Source organism: Homo sapiens, chromosome 12 (assembly GCF_000001405.40).
Source record: "Homo sapiens chromosome 12, GRCh38.p14 Primary Assembly".
NCBI classification, from domain to species: Eukaryota; Metazoa; Chordata; class Mammalia; order Primates; family Hominidae; genus Homo; species Homo sapiens.
Window position 1 is genome coordinate 120,045,225 of NC_000012.12, and position 25,985 is coordinate 120,071,209.

General features: G+C 42.9%; 1 protein-coding gene and 1 non-coding gene across 17 annotated transcripts in view, besides 1 other annotated feature; both read left to right on the forward strand.

The window, feature by feature from the left end:
• The window catches only part of BICDL1 (BICD family like cargo adaptor 1), a 105,260-nt gene that overhangs the window by 55,989 nt on the left and 23,286 nt on the right, over positions 1–25,985 (forward strand). For 10 of the 16 annotated variants that reach the window (XR_007063143.1, NR_147892.1, NR_147893.1 and 7 more), the window contains 3 exons: positions 16,486–16,602; positions 17,528–17,539; positions 19,509–19,655. Coding sequence is in view for 12 of the 16 variants with exons in the window: in XM_006719694.4 (XP_006719757.1) it covers positions 16,486–16,602; positions 17,528–17,539; positions 19,509–19,655 (276 nt within the window). In the remaining 4 variants the exon portion in view is untranslated. Of the gene's footprint in view, positions 1–16,469; positions 16,603–17,527; positions 17,540–19,508; positions 19,656–25,985 lie in introns of all 16 variants that reach the window. The other 6 variants (XM_047429890.1, NM_001367886.1, XM_047429888.1 and 3 more) reach the window with 2 other exon arrangements.
• On the forward strand, positions 3,206–3,304 carry LOC124903114 (small nucleolar RNA U13). Its single transcript, XR_007063649.1, has one exon. It is a non-coding gene; the product is annotated as a small nucleolar RNA U13 (small nucleolar RNA).
• Positions 7,640–7,813: a silencer, noted in NCBI's record as "fragment chr12:120490668-120490841 (GRCh37/hg19 assembly coordinates)". NCBI's record gives its function as "represses an EF-1alpha promoter that drives an FKBP-Casp9 reporter gene in an ReSE screen in K562 erythroleukemia cells {active_cell/tissue: K562}" and the evidence as "EXISTENCE:reporter gene assay evidence [ECO:0000049][PMID:32094911]".

The window sequence follows — 25,985 nt, forward strand, 5'->3', positions numbered from 1 at the left end:
TCTCACACCAGTTAGAATGGCAATCATTAAAAAGTCAGGAAACAACAAGTGCTGGAGAGAATGTGGAGAAATAGGAACACTTTTACACTGTTGGTGGGACTGTAAACTAGTTCAACCATTGTGGAAGTCAGTGTGGCGATTCCTCAGGGATCTAGAACTAGAAATACCATTTGACCCAGCCATCCCATTACTGGGTATATACCCAAAGGACTATAAATCATGCTGCTTTAAAGACACATGCACACGTATGTTTATTGTGGCATTATTCACAAGAGCGAAGATTTGGAACCAACCCAAATGTCCAACAATGATAGACTGGATTAAGAAAATGTGGCACATATACACCGTGGAATACTATGCAGCCATAAAAAATGATGAGTTCATGTCCTTTGTAGGGACATGGATGAAATTGGAAATCATCATTCTCAGTAAACTATCGCAAGAACAAAAAACCAGACACCGCATATTCTCACTCATAGGTGGGAATTGAACAATGAGAACACATGGACATAGGAAGGGGAACATCACACTCTGGGGACTGTTGTGGGATGGGGGGAGGGGGGAGGGATAGCATTGGGAGATATACCTAATGCTAGATGACGAGTTAGTGGGTGCAGCACACCAGCATGGCACATGTATGCATATGTAACTAACCTGCACATTGTGCACATGTACCCTAAAACTTAAAGTATTATAATAATAATAATAATAAAAAGAAAGTATAAACATTTCACATTCCAGGAAGCCCAAGATAGTCATAGTATTTCTGCCCTTGAAGAAACAGAAGCTTGTTCCAAGGTGGACATGTTCTTAGGAACTATGCAGTGCCTCAGTTTAGCTGGGTGGTAATTATTTTAGCTTGGCTGCATTTTCATATCCACTCTCCCCCTTTAGCTGCAAGACCTTTCAAGTCCTCTCTGTTATTACTAACTACCATTCATGGATGAAAGCAAGTGCCTAAATTCCCTACAACTCTGCCTCTGTTAGGGGTGTCCTTCTCTCCATCCTCCATCAGTCCCTGTGCCAGATTTTCTTAAGCTCTGTCTTCAGGCTCTTTAAGGTCTGCTCTTACTTACATTTAATCTGTTAGACTTTTCTGTGCCAGTGACTTAAACATCAGCTCTAAAGTCAGAGTTGATCTTTCAGGTTATTAGAGCTGGCTTATAATAATGATGAAGGTGAATATAGTAACAGCAACAGCTAACACACGTACTGCCTACTGTGTACCAGACACTGTTCCAAACACTTTACATATATTTATTTCAGTCATACAACCTTATGAGGTAGGTACTACTTTCTCCTAAATGTAAGGGAAGAACCTGAGACACAGAGAATTAAGCAGTTTGCCTGTGGTCACACAGTACAGTAACTGATAGAGAAGAGACTATGTTATTTTTAGACCTTGAGTTTTCCACAAGACCTATGTCTTATTTATCTCTGTATCCCCAGTTCAAAGCATAGTAGTGTTCCATCCATGTTGGAATTAGTGCAAAGTGCCAGGCCATCAAGTTAACATAGGGGATAGTGTCATTTTGGTTAAGAAAAAAAGACTGAATCAAAATCTCCAATTGCGAGTACAGTGTGGTGTATTAGGAGTATCTGGGGCCTGTTTTATTATGAGTCCTCATAGAACATTTAAAAATAAAATTAAAAGATCTGTTCTGACTTCTGAAATGTTAGTAACCAGCAGTAGGGATCTGACATTGAATAATAGTCCTCTTCCAGAAACAAAAGCAGTATTAACATTTGTCCTTTTTTCTTTTTCAATTAAAGCTGGTGCTGCTGGAGTTGCTGGTCTTTGATGCTGAGGGATTACGTTTCTGATAGTTACCGAAAGGATAATAACAAAACTTTTATTGTGCTCTAATTTAGACATTAGTTCAAATGAAACAAAATTAAACATGCCCCTATCTAGTGGATGTATACCTTCTAAATGGCACATAGTGGCTTTTATACATGCCTTCTATAAACAGTATGACCAGGAAAGCATTGACTTTATCAGGCATTCCCTCACAATTGTTAGGGCCATCAGACCTTCCTCATTCCAGGGGATGAGTTTTTGTCATCCCTGGAAATCATCCAATATCTGACTATTTGTTTTTGACTTAAAAAGGGGTAATGAAATGGAAAGAAACTGAAATGGGAGTCAGAAGCTAACAAGTTCTGTGATCCTGGGCAGGAACCTTCATGCAAATTGTATCTTTACGGGCCTAACTTTGTTGACCCATGCCTCAATTTCATCACCTGCAAAATTAGGGTTTTGAACCAGATTATCTCTGAAGTTTCAACTCTCAAACTGCATGTTTTCCTTTGAGCTAAAGCCAATATTCTATTTGGAATTTTCACTTTATCATAAATAATTATAGCTATAGTGTATTACATATTTAACCTGTGCTAAACATTTCATATATATTATTGCATTTTAATGCTAGCATAACTTGAAAGGTAGTTTTTTTTTAATCACCATCTTTCAGATGAGGAAACTGAGGTAGAGAGTGGTTAGATAATTTTTGAAGGTCATACAGCTATGTACTTTGTTTATTCTTCCCTTAAGATAATTACTGTATTTTTGCCTTATTTGTGTACTTCTCAAGTCACCTGCCAGTTTATACAAATATTTATTCTGTGCTTTATATTGGCTGCTTCATAAGGGTTCATCTCATCTTCAGCTACTTAAGAATGAAGATTGTGTCTTATAGTTTATATCTCTCATAGGGACATGAAACTTTGTATATTTCCAAAATGGAAGGTCTTTTAAAAATAAAATAAAAAAAACAAGCAAATGACTCCTTTCCTCCCTCAATCTTTCTAAGCTTACACTTTCTGAAATTTGTTATGATTATTATATCACTCTCCCCAGCCTCATTATTACTGAAATTCCTGATCTTTGTTTGATGTTATCAACACAGTTTTTTTTCTTTCACCTTTCTCCCTAGATGTTGATGTCTTATGAATTTACCTTTTTTTTTTTAAGAGGGAGAGGTCTCACTGTGTCGCTCAGGCTGGAGTACAGAAGCTATTTGCAGGCACGATCATAGCTTGCTGTAGCCTTGAACTCTTAGGCTTTATTTCTCCTGATTGTTAAGATAATACAACCTCCATATTTGCAAACATCTGGATTCTGCTAAGCTTAAGTTTTGTTTTAGTTTCTTCTCCTTTAGCCTTTCACTGTCAAGTGCATTGCTGTTAAAATTACAGGTCCTTGATCTTTTTGTAGTTCATAAACATGATGATTGGGCTTTCACACTTGTTTGAGGTGTGTCTTCCTCAAACCTTATAGTGTCAGCACATTGCCTGTCTGATGTGGGAAAAAAAAATTACAGGTTCTTGTTTCCTGTGATTTGCTTTTCCATTTTTTCCCTATCTCATTTGGTTACCTATCCCTTACTCACTCTGTGACCAAGGCATCTCCTCTGGGCCTCAGTTTCCTCATCTGTGTAATGAAGGAGTTCACTTAACTGATTTTCTTTTATTTTGGCAAGGTCCAGCTCTGACATCCTTGAAATCTAAGATGGTACCAGATCTGCCTTCTCTGTTTCATCCCCAGTACCTAGGATAAATCTAGCCACACAGAAAGGCTTATTAAACTTTTGTTGACATTTTTTTTTAATTTGGGGTCTGTGTGTCTACTCTAGTTTCTTGGAGATTTTTTTCTTATTTTCATTCTGTAGTTACCTACTGTACCTTTAAACTTTTATTTCTCAAGGACAGTTTGTTTCAGCCTTGAAAGATCCTTCATTCAGTTCAGTTCAGGCATTTCTTGGCCAGGTACTGGACTAGCTACTGGGAATGCAAAAATGAATTAGATGCTGTCACTGTCCTTAAAAAGCTTCAAATGAGGTGAAGGACTCATAAGAAGATAACTCATAAAATGTAATATGTCCTCTGCTAGAGTTTGTGCCTGGGGTGCTCTGAGAACGCAAAGGAGGGTCCCTCTGGAATGCCAAGGAGCACAGAAAGCTTCTGGGAAGAGATGATGCTATAGCTAAGTCTAGAAAGACAGAGTTAGTCCTGTGAAAAATAGGGAAGAAGCATGCCTAGGGAAAGAACAAGGATAAAGGGGACAGAGTTACAGGAGATAGAAGGTTGGCAGGTGACTGGCCTTGGAAGGCTTTTTGTGCCTGTTTGTAATAGGGAAGTACTAAAAGATTTCAGCAAGAAAATGTCTTTTCATATTACATTTTTATATGTGTCTTTTTATTTTAAAGAGATCTGCTAACATGGGCCGTATTTGTGGTCGTTAGGGGAACCAAGTGTTTTCTCTGGAAAGGTTGTCTTTTATCTTCTTTTTCAGATTATCTTAGTCTGGCGCTCTGCAGTTTCTTTATGATATATCTAGGTGTGGATTTCGTTTTATTTCTTCTGCTTTGTTTTCATTGGGCATCTTGAGTTTGTGAATTGGTGTCTTTCATTGTTAGGAGATTATCAGCCATTATCTCATCAAGTATTGCCTCGGTCCCATTCACTCTGTCCTTTCTGGAACTGCAGTTTAAACATATGGGGACTATACTAACGTAGTGCTTCTATTTTCCATCTTTATCTCTGTATTGTAGTGTAGATAATTCCTTCTGACTAGTCTTCCAATTTGGTAATTTTCTCTTCAGTTGTCACATGTGTTCTTAAACTCTGTCCATTAGGTTAAGAAGAAACTGGAAAGCTTTTTATTCCTCCAAAGTAGGTTATGCCATTTTACACTCCCACCAACAGTGTGTGGGAATTCCAGTTGTTGACATTCCCAGTATTTTGTGTTGTTGTTCCTTTTAATTGTAGCCTTCTTATGAGTATGTAGTGGTATCTCATTGTGGTTTTAATTTACATTTCCCTGGTCACTAATGATGGGGAGCACTTCTTCATGTGCCTATTGGCCATTCATTTATTTTTGTCTTTGAAGTATCTGTTCGAATGTTTTGCTCATTTAAAAAATTACGCGTCTTTTTATTGAGTTAGAGGTTTTTATATATTCTGAATACAAGTCAGATATATGTGTTATAAACATTTTCTCCCAGTCTGAGCTTTATAGATCTATTCTCTTTTTTTTTTTTCTTTTTTTTTCTTTTTTTGAGATGGAGTCTCACTCTGTCGCCCAGGCTGGAGTGCAGTGGCGTGATCTCGGCTCACTGCAAGCTACACCTCCTGGGTTCACGCCATTCTCCTGCCTCAGCCTCCCAAGTAGTTGGGACTACAGGTGCCCGCCACCACGCCCAGCTAATTTTTTTGTGTTTTTAGTAGAGACAGGGTTTCACCGTGTTAGCCAGGATGGTCTCGATCTCCTGACCTCGTGATCCACCTGCCTCAGCCTCCCAAAGTGCTGGGATTACAGGCGTGAGCCACCACGCCTGGCCTAGATCTGTTTTCTTAATGATGTCTTCTAATGCTTAGAAGTCTTTAATTTTGATACTACCCATTGGGTTTTGTGACATTTTTTGTTTTTGCTTGAGACAGAGTCTTACTCTGTTGCCCAGGCTGGAATGCAGTGGCACGATCTTGGCTCACTGCAACCTCTGCCTCCCAGGTTCAAGCAATTCTCATGCCTCAGCCTCCCAAGTAGCTGGGATTAACAGTTGTGTGCCACGCACAGCTAATTTTTATTAGAGACAGAATTCTTCAGTGTTGCCTTGGCTAGTCTTGAACTCCTGGCCTCAAGTGATCTTCCCACCTTGGCCTCCCAAAGTGCTGGGATTACAGACATGAGCCACTGGGCCTGGCCTGGGTTTTTAATTTTAAGTTATTATTTTGTATTTCTAGATATCTTGGATCTTTTCCAAATCTGAGAAGGTTGTACTTTACATTTTCCTCTTCCCTGGAGATTTTTTTTCTTTTCCCCCGAGACAGAGTCTTGCTCTGTCGCCCAGAGCTGGAGTGCCTAGAGCTGGAGTGCAATGGCGTGATCCCGGCTCACTGCAACCTCCACCACCCGGGTTCAAGCAATTCTCCTGCCTCAGCCTCCCAAGTAGTTGGGATTACAGGCACACACAACCGCACCTGGCTAATTTTTGTATTTTTAGTAGAGACGGCATTTCACCATGTTGGCCAGGCTGGTCTCAAAATCCTGACTTCGTGATCTGCCTGCCTCAGCCTCCCAAAGTGCTGGGATTACAGGCGTGAGCCACTGAGCCCAGCCCCCTGGAGATATTTTTAATCTTTTATTTCTCTAAACATAGCAGCGTTGTCTTATAGTCTATATCTGATAATATCAGGATGTGAAGTTTTTATGAATCTGTTTCTACCAGTACTTCCTAATGAGTCCTTGTTTCCATGGGTACATGTTTGTTTTTAATTTTTTTTACTATAATATTATTTTTATTAGAAAACTATTTATGGAGATTATTTGATCTTCGGATTGAAGGTACCATCCTCCAAAGAGGATTTGCGTTTTCTTCTGTTAAGTGTCTTGGGGGCACAACTAGTCTAGGATTTTAAAAAGTTAGGCTTAAAAAAGAAGCTACAAAAGCAATATGGATTCTCAAATACCCTTCATGTAGCTCCCCCTAATGTTAACATCTTTTGTAATCATAGTGCAGTTATCAAAACCAGAAAATTAATATTGAGACACTACTATTAACTAATCTACATACCTATTGGAATTTTGTCAGTTTTCCCACAAATGTTCTTTTTCTGCTCCAGAATCCGGTTCAGGCTTCCATGTTGCACTTGGTTGTCATGTTTCTTTTCTCTCCTCCAATCTCTGCCAGTTTCTCAGTCTTTGTTGTTGTTGTTGTTGTTGTTGTTGTTTTGAGACAGAGTCTCGCTGTGTTTCCCAGGCTGGAGTGCAGTGGCATGATCTCGGCTCACTGCAACCTCTGCCTCCCCGGTTCATGTGATTCTCCTGCCTCAGCCTCCCAAGTAGCTGGGACTACAGTTGCCCGCCACCACACCCAGCTAATTTTTTTTGTATTTTTAGTAGAGACGGGTTTTCACTATGTTGGCCAGGCTGGTCTTGAACTCCTGACCTCGTGATCTGCCCACCTTGGCCTCCCAAAGTGCTGGGATTACAGGCATGCCTTGTTTTTCTTTCCCCTCCCCGCCCCTCCCCTCCCCTTCTCTCTCTCTCTCTTTCTAACTTTTTCTTTCTTCCTTCCTTCCTTTCTCTCTCTCTCTCTCTCTTTCTCTGTTTCTCTTTTTCTTTCATTTTAATTGATGACAGTTCATTCTGAATAGTCTTTGTTTCTCTTGAACTTGATACTTTTGAAGACTATTGATCAATTATTTGGTACAAAGTCATTCATTTGGGTTTGTCTAATGTTTTGTCATAATTAGATTGAGGTTATTCAGTCTTGCCGAGAATAGCACAAAAGTACAGTTGGGCCCTTCTCAGTACATCATATGGAGGACATGTGATGTTGACTGCTTGGTTAAGGTAGTGTTTGCCAGGCTCCCCACTATAAATGATTTTTCCCTTTGTTATTAATAAATCAGTAAATCTTATGAAGAGATACTTTGAGGATATGAAAATATCCTGTTTCTCATGAAACTTTTGCCCACAAATTTTAGCATTCGTTCTCTGGTCTTGCCTGCAGCAATTACTGTGATGCTTGCCTAATGATGATTTTCTTTTGTTTTCTTTTTGAGACAGAGTCTCGCTTTGTCACCCAGGCTGGAGTGCAGGGCACAATCTTGGCTCAGTGCAACCTCTGCCTCCTAGGTTCAAGCGATTCTCCTGCCTCAGCCTCCTGAGTAGCTGGGCACTACGGACTACAGGCACCCGCCACCACACCTGGCTAATTTTTGTATTTTTAGTAGAGGTGGGGTTTCACCATGTTGGCCAGGCTGGTCTCAAACTCCTGACCGCAAATGATCCACCCACCTTGGCCTCCCAAAGTGTTGGGATTACAGGCGTGAGCTACCACAGCCAGCCTGATTTTCATTCTTTTATTTGAGGTGTTTTGTTCCTGTTGCCCAGGCTAGAGTGCAATGGCGCAATCTCGGCTCACCACAACCTCTGCCTCCTGGGTTCAAGCGAAGCAATTCTCCTGCCTCAGCCTCCCGAGTAGCTGGGATTACAGGCATGTGCCACCATGCCTGGCTAATTTTGTATTTTTAGTGGAGACAGGGTTTCTGCATATTGATCAGGCTGGTCTCGAACTCCTGACCTCAGGTGATCCACCCGCCTCGGCCTTCCAAAGTGCTGGGATTAGAGCGTGAGCTACTGCGCCTTCTATTTTCATCATTTCTTCTACATTTATCCTGTAAGGGAGAAGAGCCCTTTTCCCCGTTTGTTGATTGAATTGTTTATCAGTGTAGACTCAGGAATATTTATCCTATGTGTTATAATCCATTACTGTCATTATTTGTTTATTGATTAAATGGTCCTTGCCTTAGCCATTAGGAGCTCCTTCAGATTGACTCCTGTGTCAACCATTATTTTTTCATGTGCCACCATCATTTTTTGAGCACTTCTTACTTTCCAGTACCATGAGATATTCCAGGCTCATCCTGTATTTTTCCTGCCCCAACCCTGAAACTAGCCTTTTCTCCAAGGAGCCTTCGTTCATTTATTAGAGAATGGTATTTGGAAAGCAAGATTTGAGTGCTATGCGTGTATTGCTACTAGAGTGTCATTGTATGTAGGTCCTCTCAGAGGACAGAGCTAGGGAATAAGTATATGTATGCTCATAAATACATGTATGTTTATCAGACTCCTCATTTGTGTATATAAAAAACTGTAAGGCCAGGTGCAGTGGCTCACCCCTGTAATCCCAGCACTTTGAGGGGCCAAGGTGGGCGGATCACCTGAGGTCAGGAGTTTGAAACCAGCCTGACCAACATGGTGAAACCCTGTCTCTACTAAAAATATAAAAAAAATAAGCCAGGCATGGTGGTGGGCACCTATAATCCCAAAAAAATTGTAACTTTTTTTTTTTTTTTTGAGACAGAGTCTCGCTCTGTCGCCCAGGCTGGAGTGCAGTTGTGTGATCTCAGCTCACTGCAACCTCCACCTCCCGGGTTCAAGCTATTCTCCTGCCTCAGCCTCCCGAGTAGCTGGGACCACAGGTGTGCCCCACCACCCCCGGCTAATTTTATTGCTTTTTTAGTAGAGATAGAGTTTCTGCATGTTGGCCAGGGTGGTCTGGAACTCCTGACCTCAAGTGATCTGCCTGCCTCAGCCTCCCAAATTGGTGCTGGGATTACAGGCATGAGCCACCTGGCCAGGTTTTCTTTTCTGAAGAGTATTAATCTACCTTGCTGACACAGTAAGCTTGTCCAGTCTACTTCTACTCAGGTAAGTTTTTCTACCACTACGCCAGTGACATGTCTTCATCAATGCATTATAATTGCAAAATATGGGGAAATCCCACGTGCCTAATAATAAGGGAATGGTAAAGGAAATACTTGATGGAATATTACAGTCATATAAAATGAGGATTAATAATAGGCTGGGTGTGGTGGCTCACGCCTAATCCCAACACTTTGGGAGGCTGAGGTGGGCGGATCACTTGAGATCAGGAGTTTGAGACCAGCCTGGCCAACATGAAGGAATTCCATCTCTACTAAAAATGCAAAAAAAATTAGCCGGGCATGGTGGCACACACCTGTGGTCCCAGCTACTCAGAAGGCTGAGGCAGGAGAATCACTTGAACCTGGGAGGCGGAGGTTGCAGTGAGCCGAGATCGCACGACAGCACTCCAGTCTTGGCAGCAGAGCAAGACTTCATCTCAAATAATAATAATAACGTAGGAATGCTATTGATACAATGCTAAGTAAAAAATTATAACAGTAGGATTGTAAGTAATTGTACACACACATATATGTAGAAAGATTGGGGAAAAAATAAAATGCTAGCAGCATTTTTAAAATACCCATATTCTGCAGTGGGATTTTGTTACATTTAAATTTTAAAATAAATGTCGTCATCCTCATTGTCACTGTCACTGCCACCCCAAAAGGTGCCCATTATCCATCATGCCCTGGCAAAAGAAAGTTTGAGAATTTCTCTCTTAAGGTAAAACTCAATTATTCAGGCAAAATATTAAAATAGTAGATCTTTCCTATGATAATTTCTAAGTTTATTAGTTCATTTGTTTTCTTTCAACAAATAAGTAAACTGGATACTCGTATAAATAATGCAATTTCCTTCCCTCCATTTAACAAGAAAGTGTGTAGTGAACAGTTCTGCTTTGGCAAGTTTAAACAAGCTTAATCTAAAGGTTCTAGTTTGGGGGAATGTTCATATGTTATTAATCATGTCCACAAGCAAAGTAATGATGAAACAGCTTTGTTCAGTGGGGAGGAAGTAATCTGTCCTAGATGGTACTCTGACCAACAGGAAAAGGAACACACTGTTACTTTGTTTTGCCAACTTGAGGATTCATTAAATAATAGTAACCCAAGCAAATTATAAAAAGAGTTTATTTCAGATAGTTTTGGGAGTGTGCATTAAAATTTTTAGCATTCTGTAACAGAACTAGAGATATTTTTCAAATGTTTTTTGCTTCATCATGCAATCTGTATTCAGTGAAAGTAAAAGAGACTTAAGTTTTGAAGATATTAGAAATAAGTATCTACAAACAAACAAAAAATAAGTATCTAAAGATTAAAACATTGCATAATACCCAGTGGTGGCAGAGTATTGAGAAACAGGCATCAGGTGTATTTGTACTGTTGATAGGGATATAAATTGATGCAACCTTTTTAGAGGACTGTTTTGCAATACCTTGTTCAGAGTGAATGTGCGTATTCTTTTACCCAGTGATTCCACTTATGGAAAATTACCCACAAGCACAAAGATGGGTGAACAAAGATATTTTTTGGAGCAATGTTCATAATAGCAAAAAAAATTGGAACACTCGAAATGCTCATCAGTAGGGACTAGTTAAATTAGAATAAGGTAGATCTACATAGATACATACATATGAATAGAAAATTTCTAAAAGGACTCCCAAGAAAGATCTAATAGTGATTACCTGTGGTGGGTGGCACTAATACTAGGAGTAAGTAGAGATTTTAACTTTCATTTTAATTCTTCAGTTTTCTTTACTTTTTTTTACTCTGAACAGTTGTAACTTTTATCATAGAAAGAAACCTGAGTTTAAAATGGAAAGAAAAATGCTTTAACTAAAGTCTTGCCATCTATTTTATATTCACCTATGATTTCAAATGTTTTTTGCCACAAGTAATTACTGGCTGCTTAGTTAGGCATGGTAGCCAAAACTCATCATTTTGATAAGTAAACTATAAGACTTGTGTCTGCCATTTTCTGCTATAAGAATGAATTGAGGCCGGGCGCAGTGGCTCACGCCTGTAATCCTAGCACTTTGGGAGGCCAAGGTGGGCGGATCACGAGGTCAGAAGTTCGAGACCAGCCTGACCAACGTGGTGAAACCCTGTCTCTACTAAAAATACAAAAATTAGCTGGGCGTGGTAGTGCGCCTGTAATCCCAGCTACTCAGGAGGCTGAGGCAGGAGAATTGCTTGAACCTGGGAGGCAGAGGTTGCAGTTAGCCGAGATCGCGCTACTGCACTCCAGCCTGGGTGACAGAGCGAGACTCCGTCTCAAAAAAAAAAAAAAGTGAAAGAGAAAGAGTGAAAGAAAGATTTGGGCAGAGGGTCCTAGATGGATGTGGAGACCTGGCAGGAGAGTGGCTGCAGCTGGGGAACCTGAGGCCAGGCCTCGAGCATGAGCACTGACCCTGCTGGGCAGTGAGTGAGCAGTCTGTGGCCTGGTCAGCAATGCCTCCTCCCAGCCGACCGCCTGCCCTTGATGCAGGTTAGGGCTCTACAGAGCAGAGGGGAGGCTGGGCCCTGTGCCAAGCCCTGGGTTGGATAGGAGCCCAGTGGTCCTCTCGCCCACGCAGGTGGGAATGGTAACAGCAATGGATGCCTTAGAGGAAGAGAGCTTCAGGCTGTCCTCCTCCACCTCTGATGCAGAATTTGATGCTGTGGTTGTATATTTAGAGGACATTATCATGGATGACAGGTTCCCAATTATTACAGAGAAATTACATGGACAAGTACTACTAGGACTTGTAAGTTTGTAGAGACAGGGTTTCACCATATTGTCCAGGCTGGTCTCGAACTCCTGAGCTCAAGCGATCCTTCCACCTTGGCCTCCCAACGTGCTGGGATTACACCGCGCCTGGCCCATTTGATTCAATTTTTTGTCTTTCCACGATACCCCTCCTCTCAGGAGCACAGTGTATCCCTTCAGAGAGACTGCTGTTACCCTGGCTAACTCTCCCACTTCTTCAAAGGTTCTTCAAAGAACCTCTGAAATTCATTCCAGAGCTAAGGCTTCCTTATTTAGCATTTAACTTCCAGAAAGCATTTAGAACATAAGAGTTATATATAAACTTAAGAGGTTATTATTTAATTTATGTGCAGAAATAGCTAATGTTCATTGTGTTAGTCAAGTCCAAGGTGTGAACCAGATTCTATCTCTGAAAAAGAAGAAAATAATTTATTTTGGAAGGTGCATTAGCTCCTTGCAAAGGGTAGGTTTATAACTCAGATTATCTATTCCCTCCATCACCATCACAGGCAATTGATTGGCCCCCCTGGCTGGAAGGTGGCTGTGATGTGGTGGCCAAAGGCCAGTGCAGTACACACCCTTGGAGCCTCTATCTCCCTGCCCTGCAAAAGGAGGCCAGCGATTCCTGCTTTTTTTTTTTTTTTTTTTTTTTTTTTTTTGAGACGGAGTCTTGCTGTGTCGCCCAGGCTGGAGTGCAGTGGCGCGATCTCGGCACGCTGCAAGCTCCGCCTCCCGGGCTCATGCCATTCTCCTGCCTCAGCCTCCCGAATAGCTGGGACCACAGGCGCCCGCCACCACGCCTGGAGAATTTTTTTTTGTATTTTTAGAAGAGACGGAGTTTCACCGTGTTAGCCAGGATGGTCTCGATCTCCTGACCTCGCGATCCACCCGCCTCGGCCTCCCAAAGTTCTGGGACCACAGGCATGAGCCACCGCGCCTGGCCGATTCCTGCTTCTTAAGGCTATTGTAAATTGAGATGAGAAATGGAGTTTAAAAGCTTTTGCTGTGCATATCCCTGGGCATAGTTGAGGAGTCAGACATTTAAAGGGAGCATTATAGCTTAGTGCTTAACAGCTTAGGCTCTAGAGTTTAACTTTCTGGTAGGAAGAGACAAATTTCTATTTCTAAGAAGATCGCTTTGAGAAGAGGTAGTCTGCAGGAGCATTTTATACCAGCTGGACTAGATTTGCAGCCCTCGGTGCATCTCTGCGGCTTCGTTGTTGAGTGATTCATGTCAAAGTGGTGATGGTAGGAATAAGATCAGCTACCTGAATTACCCAGTGCTCTGCACATCTAAGTATGTTTGAAATCTCAACAGTCAACTGAATTCAGTATATGCACTCAAACTGCAGCATGTGATTTCCTGATGGGCCAGCCCTACCTTCTGTTAAAATTTTTTTCTTTTTTTTTTTTTTTTTTGAGACAGAGTCTTGCCCTGTGGCCCAGGCTGGAGTGCAGTGGCGCGATCTTGGCTCACTGCAACCTCCCTCTCCTGGGTTTAAGCGATTCTCCTGCCTCAGCCTCCCGAGTGGCTAGGACTACAGGCACCCGCCACCACGCCCGCCTTATTTTTGTATTTTTAGTAGAGACTGGGTTTTACCATGTTGGCCAGGCTGGTCTCAAACTCCTTACCTCAGGTGATCCACCCACCTCAGCCTCCCAAAGTGCTGGGATTAGAGGCGTGAGCCACTGCAGCTGGCCTTAGAAGAAATTTTAAGAGTCTCAAATGAAATGCCTAGCATTGAAAAAAAAGAAGAAAAGCCTTGCTAAATTGGACTCGTGTAAAGTTTGGTTTTAGTAGTGAGCAATAGAAATATGAAAAATTATTTCAAAATACAAGAAGATAGTATTACAGTACTAATTTGAGGTTAAGACAGCCAAAGTTGGTTTTTTTTTTATTAATTTTTTTTAATTTTTTCTTTTTGAGACGTAGTCTTGCTCTGTTGCCCAGGCTGGAGTGCAGTGGCATGATCTTGGCTCACTGCAACTTCTGCCTCCCAGGTTCAAGCGATTCTTCTGCCTCAACCTCCCAATAGCTGGTACTATAGGCACGCACCACCATGCCCGGTTAATTTGTTTGTTTGTTTGTTTGTTTTTTGAGACTGAGTCTCGCTCTGTAGCCTGGGCTGGAGTGCAGTGGCTCAATCTCAACTCACTGCAACCTCCACCTCCCGTGTCCCAGTTCAAGCAATTCTCCTGCCTCAGCCTCCCGAGTAGCTGGGATTACAGGTGCATGCCACCATGCCCAGCTAATTTTTGTATTTTTAGTAGACACGGGGTTTCACCATGTTGGCCAAGCTGGTCTTGAACTCCTGACCTTGTGATCCGCCCACCTCGGCCTCTCAAAGTGTTGGGATTACAGGTGTGAGCCACCATGCCCGGCCTAATTTTTGTATTTTTAGTAGAGATAGGGTTTCGCCATGTTGGCCAGGCTGGTCTCAAACTCCTGACCTCAGGTGATCCAGCCACCTCAGGCTCCCAAAATGCTGGGAGTACAGACGTGAGTTACCCTGCCCAGCCTATTTATTTATTTTTGAGACAGGCTTTCACACTCTGTTGCCAAGGCTGTAGTGCAGTGGCAGCACGATCATGGCTCACTGTAGCCTCGACCTCCCCAGGCTCAGGTGATCCTCCCACCTCAGCCTCCCAAGTAGCTGGGACTGCAGGCACATACCACCATGCCTAGCTAATTTTTGTATTTTTTCTAGAGACTGGGTTTCACCATGTTGGCCAGGCTGGTCTCAAGCTCCTGGGCTTAAGCAGTCCACCCACCTCAGCCTCCCAAAGTGCTGGGATTACAGGCATGAGCCAGCGTACCCAACCCAGCCCAAAGTTTTTACCATCCTGATTCTGTCACTGAGATGCTGGGCAAGTTCCTTCAGTTTCCTGAGCCGATTTCCTTGTTAATTGGGGGTAACAATCAAGATAATGCATTGGAAAGCAATTAGCACAGTTCTTGACACATAGTATGTACTCAGTAAATATTACTAATGTGATTCTTAGGCAAAAGTGAATGACTAATGTGTTTTTAAGTGATTGAGAAGTCTAAAACAGCCTAGTGGGTATCTGAAATTAAATTTAGAATACGAAGGAGAAATAATATAGGGAAAATATTCCCAGGAATGTTTATTGCCAGAATTGTTCACAGGTTTCAGGGTGTGTAGGGTGGGGTGAGGGAGTTGGCAGCCTAATGCTGATTCCTTGCATCATAAAGCCAAGCTATGAAATTGTTCATTTCCAATAAGTTACTTCATGTAGCTCTGAACTTCTAAGTTTTTTAAGGAGTCAGTTGTATATCAGAATCTTACTAGCTCATTACTTCACTGACTGAAACTTGGGAAACAAAGATGATTCATAGGAAGGAAAATTTAAAGGTTAGAGGGTATTTAAATGAAAATCAACTAGAGTATGGTTTGATTTTATTTTGTTTTGTGTTTTGTAATTGTTTTTAAAATAGCACTGTAGGTTGAGAATCTTCTGTGGCTCTGTAGTCCAGTGAGGTAACATTTGTTGAATATGTGGAACCAAAAATAAAAAAGATGGACAATTGATTATATAGTACTTGAAGATAAAAAGAACTACTGAACATGTAACCATTACTGTGAGAGCCTCATTGAACAGCTAGCCTACCACTTCAACATTATCACCATCCCACCTCCTCGGAAAGCCTTTCCTGGCCGTTCCAGCACACGGTGATCTCTCCCGAGAGAACCCATAAAGCTTACTGACCCCATTTGGCCTCAAAAAAGCATTGAGGCAGTTACTTAATTTGTCCCGTGGCTCTCCTCTCCACAGGACAGTGGGCAGGGCTCCCTCAGTAGGGTCTGGGCTGGGACCCTCAGGAGGAGGGCTGGAGTTTGTGTTACCAGGTGAGCCTCCTGCAACACCAGATGGTATTTGGTGTTTGCTGTATTTTAGCATTAGATCATAAATGGATTGAGGTGGGAAACAGGCACCTCTGCTGGCACTCCCCAAAGAATTAAAAGTTGCAAAAATGTCCTTGAGGAATGAGTGGCAAAAAATCTTAACAGGTATGACAAGAAATTTCAAATAGTGTCCATGTTAAGTAGAGGAGAGAAATGCAGATGCACGTGATTTGACTGAGCCCACTTGAGGAAATTGATGGGAGAAGTAAAGGAATTTCTAAGGCAGTAGGTATAACCATCTTATTCTTTTATGTAAAATATTCAGACTTTCAATTTATTAGATATTTGCTGAGTTTCTGCTATATGTAGAGTAATAATGATAACTAACATTTGAGAGCATACTATTTCCTAGGGCTGTTTCCTTTGATCAGTAGAGTGGTCTTGCACCTATTCAGGGTCATTAATGGTAGAGGTGGGGGTGGGAGTTTGTCCTGTTTTGGACTAGAGAACAAATGGATGGGAAACCAGCATCTCATCTAGTGCTCCTTAAAGAATAGAAAGTGCAAAGAGATGCTTGATAAATGAAAGCAGAAACCTTAACAGAGTTCCTTTGCATAACCTCCGAATCAGCTCTGCAGGTCTCCTCTGTTTCAGGCATCAGAAGTTGAGAGACAACTCTCCATGCAGGTCCACGCCCTCAGAGAAGACTTTCGGGAGAAAAACTCATCAACCAACCAGCACATTATCCGGCTGGAGAGCCTTCAGGCCGAGGTGAGCCTCCCGACACAGCAGTGCTGGAAGGTGGAGTGCTTTTCTCACTGGGAGACAAAAAACTGCTCTATGTAAAAGGGCCTAAAATCTCTACAGAAAGACATTTCTGTGCGAAACTAAATGGGAAACATTTGATCTGTTTCTCTGGGTAGCCTGTTGTCTGGAAAAATGAAGTTGCTCAGAGTTACTGCCGGGTGTGTTGAAATCACGAATGACCTACATTTTACTGAATATGTTGATCTCTCCAAAAATATCCTTGCCAATCCCAAACAGGAGGTGGGAAAGGGCATCTCGCCTTTCTCTATTCCATTTAGGCCCAGTTCAGTCCAACTTAGTAAGGTCTACTATCATTCTCACCTGCAAAATGAGAGAAATAGAAGTTTCTACTTCACAGGTTTTTGCAAGGATATTATGGGTTAATGCATACAAGGCACTTTATATGATACCTGGAACACAGTGATGTTATTGGAACCATAGGAGAGGCCAGAATGTGAGGGCCAGGATGAGGGGAAAAAGAAAGTATCGGCAGGGGAACAATACTGTGAGAACCTGGTTGTGGAAGGTGAAGAGAGGGTAAGGATCTTATCACCAGCCCAAACCAGGCCTCCCCCTAGGGGAGGCTTCCACCTGGTCTGCTTTTGAGGACCCTTTAGCCAAGTATCTGGCTAAAGGGGCCAAGTAGCAGCCCCTTTGCTAAGTCAGAGTTTGAAGGACAGTCTAGAGCCAGGTTGAACAAGTAACCTTCCACTGTGACGAAGCGATCTGCCATCATGGTCAGGCCAGAGAAACCCAGATAGCCTGTTGCCCTGCTCGGTAAATGACCTGAGGATGTTTTTCCTAAAGTCTGTCAATATCTTCTCTTTTCTCCTGCCTCCTATTCCCTTCCTTCCCCCTTTCCCTTGGAATGCCTACTGGTATTGAGCAGCAGGTCCTTGAAGTAAGTAGAGTTTGTTCCAGTGGGGTTTGGCATGCCTGTGTGTGACCATTTGTGTGCATGACTTGCCATTCACCTGCCTCTGCCAGCCTCTGACTCCTTCACGTTTCCTGTCTTCCTCTTTCCTCACCCGTTCATTTTTTCTAGACCCTCATGAACCGGGTCGTCCCCAGGAATGTTTATTGCCAGATTTTTTCACAAGTTTCAGGGTGTATAGCGCTGGGTGAGGGAGTTGGTGGCCTAACACTGATTCCCTGCTTTGTCCATGAACACTGCTACCTTTAAAAGGCAAGCTATGAAATTGTTTGTTTCAAGTAAGTTACTTTGTGTAGCTCCGAACTAAGTTTTTTTAGGGTCAGTTGTGTATCAGAATCTTATTACCCCATCACTTCACTGACTGAAAGTTGGGAAACAAAGATGATTCATGGGAAGGAAAATTTAAAGGTCAGAGGGTATTTAAATGAAAATCAACTAGAGTAAGAATTGTCTTCACATGGGTAACTTTGCTTCAGTGTAGGAAATAGTGGACCCATTCACAAAAGGGGCTTGCTCCTTTTGGTCCCCTACCCAGATGCACACTTGAGAGACAATATTTCTTTGTTTGGCCAGATATCTGATCTCTCTGGACAAAGGCCACATACTTTGTTTCCCCAGGACAACATCCTATCTGATTGAATTGGTGGCCAGAGAAGATCTGTGCCCTGTGAGCAGAATTCTAGTTCAGAGAATGAGAACAGATAAAAAGTAAAGGGAAAAGTGTATCTCGTAGGACTGAAACAAGCTAGACATTCATTTCAGGATTTCCCCTGGAAAAGTTCTAAGGTTGGTCCCCAAAACTTGCACAAGTAAAAGCCTTAAGGAATTGTTATCAAAGCTGGACTAGAGAGCTTGGAGAATATTTTAACCATGTCAAGAAAATATTTACAAGCAAGAAACTGGTTAAGAATCAGTCCAGCAGGGCACTGCTAAATAAATGGGAGGATCCACGAGGACCTCCAGGATTCCAGAAGGTCCCCTAGGAGTCAGATCCAATTGGCAGGGCTTTCTGGACCCCCTGAGCCAGGGTGGTGATCTTTTGAGTGAAGCATCCCTGGCCTTGGGGAGCACTGGCTCAGCTTCTCACCCTTCAAACCTTGAGGCCAGAGGAGACTTGGCATCTCTTCCCTCTTTGCCTCTGTTTTCTCACTGACACTGAAGAGATTAGACAGACCTTCCTAAAAGAAGATTTACTTATGTGGAGACTGACTAGGTATTCAGTGTATACGAACATATCAACCTGTTTCATAAAAAGAATTTGCGCCTCTTCACGAATGACTCGCTCAGGTAAAAGTTACTCTGAGTAAAGTCAGCATTCACTTGTATCTGTGTCCTGCTCCATCCCAGGACACAGGCTGATGCAGGCACTACTTTGTTTTCTGTACCCTGGGAGCTCTTCCCTTAACTCAAGGCACTGGATCTGAGCTGTGACCTCTAGTGCCAGAGGGGCCAGGAGCGGGGAAAGGAAGACGGAGGGGAATCCCGGGGTGTGAAAACACGGCGCTCCAGAGGATTTCCTGGGCATTTTCTTGTGCTCATGACTTGAGGAGGAGAAGTAGTGCAGCAGGTTAGGTTCCACTCCTCCTGCCAGTTGTAAGGATGGGGTAAAGTTGAGGGCAGGCAAGGTGGAGCCCTTTTTTTTTTTATCTTATCTCTGGAATTTCCAGAGCACTAGCCTTCCCTTCCTCTGCCTGGCATCCCACATTCCAGCTTCCCCAGAGCTCAACTCCTACTCCTTCCCAGACAGGTTTCTAGAGGGGAGGGGTTTTCTCTTCAGCTTAGGGTTTCATAGCTATTCTCTCAGAGATGGGGGTACCGTGACATTGGGCAGAATACTGAAAGATACTTGCCTTCATGTTTTGGGGCTAGTCCCTAGTTCCTACTTGTCAGCCCGGGTGTAACTCCACACCACCCCTGTGGCTCTCCACCCTTTCAGATCAAGATGCTGTCAGATCGGAAACGGGAGCTGGAGCATCGTCTCAGCGCTACTTTAGAGGAAAATGACCTGCTCCAAGGGACCGTGGAGGAGCTACAGGACCGGGTGCTAATCCTGGAGAGGCAGGGCCATGACAAGGACCTACAGGTACTGGGGTAGAGAAGCTGTCCTGCAGGACTAGAGCCAGATAAAAGGAGCACTTAGCCAAAAAGAAAAGGCTGGGAGGCCAGCATCACTGCTGGGGTAAGCTGGGAGTGGATGATGCTGAGGTCTCGCTGTGGGGCCTGGGGCATTCACTAACTTGGCTCTTCCGACTCTGCCTAAAGGAAGTGCACTGCTACCCACAGATCATTTCTACAATGTGTTCTGAGCCACTGGCCCACGGAGCAGTTTCACAGAGTTCTCTCTGGGTTCTTAACATGGCTGGAACACCAGGAGTGCTATTCTGGCCTCCTAGCATTTGCGAAATCTGCTAGAAGGTTTCAGAGGGAGCCTGTGACTCTCTAACTCAGCTCATAATGCTCTCTGCTGCTGTCTTCCCAAGCTCATGGATTTAGTTGGCTGGCATGGAGCAGAAACCTGAAGCTGCCCACTGAACACAGCAAGATTTATATGCTGCTTCTGCCAGTTGCCAGAAAAGGCATAGACTGACCCCTTTGTGAGCCTCATCAGTCTCTTTTTTTCTTTCTGAAGGAAATTGCTTCATGGCCATATTTGTTCTTATTTGGGAACTGCTACCGGGCCTCAGCTGAATCCCCAAGCTCACACTTGACAGGAAACAACTCCCAAAACAAAAAGATATCATCACTCCAGTCTTCCCAGAAATAGAGTACAGCATCTGCTACCAAGATGCTTTGCTGGGCTGGCCTAGGAGGACTTGGGGTCAGAAACTAGGAGTGCATTGCTTCCCTTTGGCATTCTCTGTGCATGCCAGGGAGTGCACTGGATTGCAACAGTGATGTTTGTGCAGAGGTGGTCAGCCAGGTGTACTCAAGCACCAGGTGGATCTCTGCCCGAAGGCTAGGCCACAGAAGGTCCCACTGGGCTCATAGGTAGGCTGTTTGAAAGCCTTGGGGTATGGGATAAGGAAATATAATGTCTTGGACTAAGATTACTTGTCCCTGGCACCATCAGCTAAGCTGACACCTGAGTGATTAACCGCTTTGAGGGAAAATGAATGGCTTTTATCTCTGCATGTTTTTAGTACCTTCAGCTAGTAACTTTCCATATATTAATAGTAGTACCTCAGTCAATGTTGAGTAGAAAATGGTGCTGGCTAAAGCCTTACAGCAGTTTTCAAGATGGAAAAGAATTTGCTCATTTTTCAAGGTTGATGATAATAATAGCAGTGAACATTTGTGTGCCTCTTTGGCATACAGGGTGCTTTTAGCATACATCATAAAGCTGAAATTGAGAAAAACTGAATCGTTTATCCAAAGTCATGTAGTGAGTCTTTGGTAGAATCGAGACTGGAACCCTCTCACCTGCTTTACCTGTAGCTCAGTGATAACTTCTTGGTATCACTTGCCTCCAAAAATCAGTTCCTGACCAGCATTTATTACCCTATCAAGCTGCTCTCCTGAGGGTTGCTGACATACAGTATGGGAGGAGAAGGAAAATAAGTATGGAGAAAGAGAAAAATGGCCCTTGCCTAAAAGAAACTTTCAGTTCAGCATGAATTTATAGTGAAAAGTCCTTATTTCAAATCAAGAACTGGGGACCTGGGTTGGGGGAAAGAGGCAGGACTAGTATGCCTTCAGGGGCCTGACCAGCACTGTGGGCTGTACATTCTTTAGCAGCGAGAATCCCGTCATGCCACATGCACTTGCTCACCATGTGCACATCCACTGTCTTTCTGTTGAACTTCAAGACTGAGAAGGTGTCATTCACCTAAGGACCTGCAGCAAGTCAGGCAGTACTCAACTGATTTGGAAAATCTGCATTTATAGGCTGAATTCTCATCTTCTCTAACAATTTATCATTATAGTCCTTCAGTTCATGTGAAACTCTCCAGTTGCCACTAATTACCAGTGTCCTCCAGAAAGTCCTTTCTGTTGCTAAAATGGCCCGTACTGATACAGAAATAAAAAATCCAGCTTACTCAGGTAGCAGCTGAATGATCCTAAACCATATTTGTAAAATGTAAAGCTAGTGGCCTTGGAATGTACTTAATCCTTTGATTTTAAATCCTCAGACAAGGGTGAGGGATGGCTGAGCAGGCAAGGCAACAGGCCTGTCACAACCAGGGGAGCCCCCTTTTGATCTCTGTCACTATATAATTGGGGTCCTGCTGTCAAAAACAGATTTTCAAACAACTGATCAAATCCAACTCTGAATTTTTTCAGACCTGAGAATAAGCATAAAAATTATTATTCATTGAACACCCAGTATATATCAAGTATTTTGCCAAACTCTTACTATCCAGTAAAGGAAATCTATTTGTCCCTCTAAGGGCCACTTAACTGCCCTGTCTCATACTCAGCTGGGCATCTTACAGATGTCTGCAGGGCCTAGTCCCAGCGACTGGGTGGATTCCATCAGCAGAGCACAGGCCCTGCTCACTGTGGGGCAACCCAGGAAGCAGGTGACCTGGAGCCTAGACCTTGCTCTAATGCTGATTGTGTACCATTAGGCAAATCACGTAACATCACACCATCCCAGTTCCCTTAGATGAGCGTAAATGTAGTGTACTGTACAAACACAAAGCACTTGGTGTCATTCTTATTCATACATATAAGTATACTTAGTGTCATCTTTGTCATATAAAGGATGATGTTTCTTATTTTAAAGGGCTCTTAAATGTAATAGACTCTTCTCTTGTTTGGTTTGGTTTTTCTGCCTGTGTCTGTCCAGTTGGTGAATCAATTGTTGACTGGAGAGTGCAGACCTCTCCTGGTCTTTTGTTCCCTTGCTGTTATCATTAATTAAGCACCTTTGAGTGTGCATGAGTAATTGAACTAATTTTGTCCAGTACATAAGAACTTGTACTTGTCTGTGCCAAACTTCCTCCTGCTGAGATGTGTGTGGAGTTGTCTAAAAAATAATTGTGAAGCATTTTGCCAGTTTAATATGCCATTTGTAATTGTGCCAAATGCTTCCTAGGAATGTCTGTTTTTTCCTGTAACCCTGATGTTTTTCTTTCTGAGTCTCCTCAAAACTGGGGTTGGAGAAGTTCCCACTGGACCAGCAGGTATTGCTGATCCACCAGAACTACGCAGAGCAGGCTTGCCAATCCTTTCTTCATTCTCTGGGCAGCCAGGCTCCAAACCTTTCCTCTTTAGGGCTATTCCAGATCACTGGTGCCATTAGCCAATCATTTCGAAGTACTGACGGTGAAGGTGAGGCTCCCAGGTCCCCTAAGGCTCTGCAAGGCAGCTTTCTCCCTTCATGAGAACTATAGAGCTCCAAGTGGCTGCCAGCCACCCCAGTCTGCATTTCTGCAGGAGCCACAAGCCAACTCAGCCACAGGTCTGAAAAAGACCAGTGCAGTGTCTACTTTCTTTTTAATGGAACAGAGGTGACCCCAGAAATGCTGTTTTATAAAAGAATAAATTAGCTTAATTTAAATCCCAAGAAGTTCTCCCCCACACCACCACTTCCTGAAAGTCTTCTAAGGACCTGGAGTGGGGAGTTGCAGTCCACAGATAGGAAGAGTAGGAAGCATTGCTTCTGGGCAGATGTGGCATGTGGCATGTGGTCGTGTGTCTAGCTTCTAGCAAACTGATGACAATTCTGCAACTAGGGTCTGCTGTATTAAAAGCAAGTTAGTGATGGAGTGCACAGATAAGAAGATAGCATTTAGGCCGGGCGTGGTGGCTTACGCCTGTAATCCCAGCACTTTGGGAAGCCGATATGGGCAGATAACTTGAGGTCAGGAGTTCGAGACCAGCCTGGCCAATATGGTGAAACCCCGTCTCTACTAAAAATACAAAATTTAGCTGGACATGGCGGCGCATGCCTGTGGTCCCAGCTACTAGGGAGGCTGAGGCAGGAGAATTGCTTGAACCCAGGGGGCAGAGGTTGCAGTGAGCCACAATCGTGCCACTGCACTCCAGCCTGGGTGACAGAGACTCAAAAAAAATAGCATTTAGCAGCTGTGGTTGGGTCATCCCCTTATATTCAGCAGTAGTAACCTCCCCAGAGAGTTGTACCCTATTGTGAACTGCACACAGAAGGGGCCATGGAGAATGCAGTGGGGTAGAGGGGGTGAAGTAGCAGCATGGAGAGAGAAGGAAAGAGCACTGCCCACAATTCCTGACCCCTGCGCTGCTGTCTCCTCTCTACCACTGGCGTCATTCCCCTTTTCTAAGCTTCAGTTTTATCCTGACATAGTTGGACTCATTGATCTCTGTGGCTGTGCTAGCTCTAAAAATGTAGGCTTATGTGAAAATCTCTGAGATCATTTAAAAATCAAGAGAGAGAGGCTGGGAAAAGTCTAAAGGGCATATAATATATATATTTGGCTTGCAGAATAGAGCAATTTGGAAAGCTATTGAAAAGGAATGTCTCCAAGTAATTAGCTCTTTTCAAGTCTTCAGAAAAGGACTGAGAGAGAACAAACAGGTGAACGTGCAGGATGAAGGACTGATGTTAGACATGGCAAAACTGTGGACATTTCTGCCCGTGAGAGTTAGAACTGAAGCTGTGGGACTTCCTCCCTCAAAGATCTTCAAAATAAGTTACTATCTCATCTGTCAATATCTCTCTGGGACAAATGAGGTATGTGGAAACTGGAAAGAACCCTGGACTGGGAGTCATGAGTCCAGTTCTGCTTCACAAGGGTTTTCGGAAAGTCACTTTTCACCTGTGACTCAACTACCTGATGTGGAAGTGAGGGGCCAGCCTAGGGCCTTGCCTCTAATGGTTGGGTGGGGGTAGAAACTCTTGGTATTGCTATCCAGATGCTACTCCCGTTTCCACCTCCGGCTCCTTTCCAAGCTACTCTTTTTCCCCTTAATTTTTTTTTCATGAAAATGTATATATAGTAAAGCATACAAATCTTAAGGGGACAGCCCAATTAATTTTTACAAATACATACCTGTGTAACCACCATGGAGATCAAGATACAGACCACGATCAGCACCCTAAAAAGAATACTTGCCGCTTCCTCAAAAGCAAACCTCTACTCCAACGTTTTTCTACCTCAGTGAAGTTTGGGAACGTTTTATAGACTCATGTATACTTTTTATGTCTGGCTTTTGTTCAACATTGTGTCTGTGAAATTTAACCATGTTGTGGCATATAGTAGCAGTATATTCTTTCATTGCTCTATAGTATTCTAACATGTGAACATACCGCAATTCACTTATTTTATTCTTATTAGCATTTGGATTGTTTCCCATTTGTGGTTATTTGAACATCCTGTGTATGTCTGTTGTACACATTTCATTTTTGTTGGGTCTACAGCTAAAAGTGGAATTGCTGGATCATAGAATATAGATTCTATTTAACTTTATTAGAAACTGCCTATTTTCCAAAGTATTCGTACATTTTCTACTCCCACCAGCATTGCCCCACATCTTCATCAACACTTGATATTATTTGTATTATTTATATTAGCCATCTTGGGTGAGACTCTAATGGTATCTCACTTTGTGTGCCTGTGTGTGTTTGATTATTTATTGCAAAGGATTTCAAACATTCCACAGTGGCACAGTGTAATGAAGCCCAGCCCTGAAAACCACCAATCCCTGCCCAGTGCTGCCCCATCTTCATAACATCCATTTCCTTTTCTCTCACGTTATTTTGAAGTAAATCTCAGAATTTAATAAGTTCATCTGTAAATAAAAAGTACTAACTCTAAAAGATAAGAACTTTAAAAAATGTAACTACAGTACTATTATACCAAAAAAATTAGCATATTTTCTTAATATCATAAAATGCCCAGTGAGTGTTCAGATTTTCACTTGTCTTATAAACGTCCATAATTTTTTTACATTTTTGTTTGAATCAAGATACAGATTAAAATGGGCCTACATAGTGCGATTGGTTGGTATAACTCTTTTTTTTTTTTTTTGAGACGGAGTTTCATTCTTGTCGCCCAGGCTGGAGTGCAATGGCGCAATCTCGGCTCACTGTCACCTCCGCCTCCTGGGTTCAAGCGATTCTCCTGCCTCAGCCTCCCGAGTAGCTGGGATTACAGGCGCCTGCCACCATGCCCAGCTAATTTTTGTATTTTAGTAGAGACAGATTTCACCATGTTGGCCAGGCTGGTCTCGAACTCCTGATTTCAGATGATCTGCCCCCTTTGGCCTTCCAAAATGCTGGTGTTACAGGCGTGAGCCACCACGCCCGGCCTGGTTGGTATAACTCAAGTCTTTTTTTATTTCTGTGTTCCTCCTTTATCTGTTTTTTCCCTTGCAATGTTTTTGTTAAGGAAATGGAGTTGTTTGTCCTATAGAATTTTCTTTTTTCTTTTTTTCTTTTTTGAGGTGGCGTCTCGCACTGTCACCCAGGTTGGAGTGCAATGGCGTGATC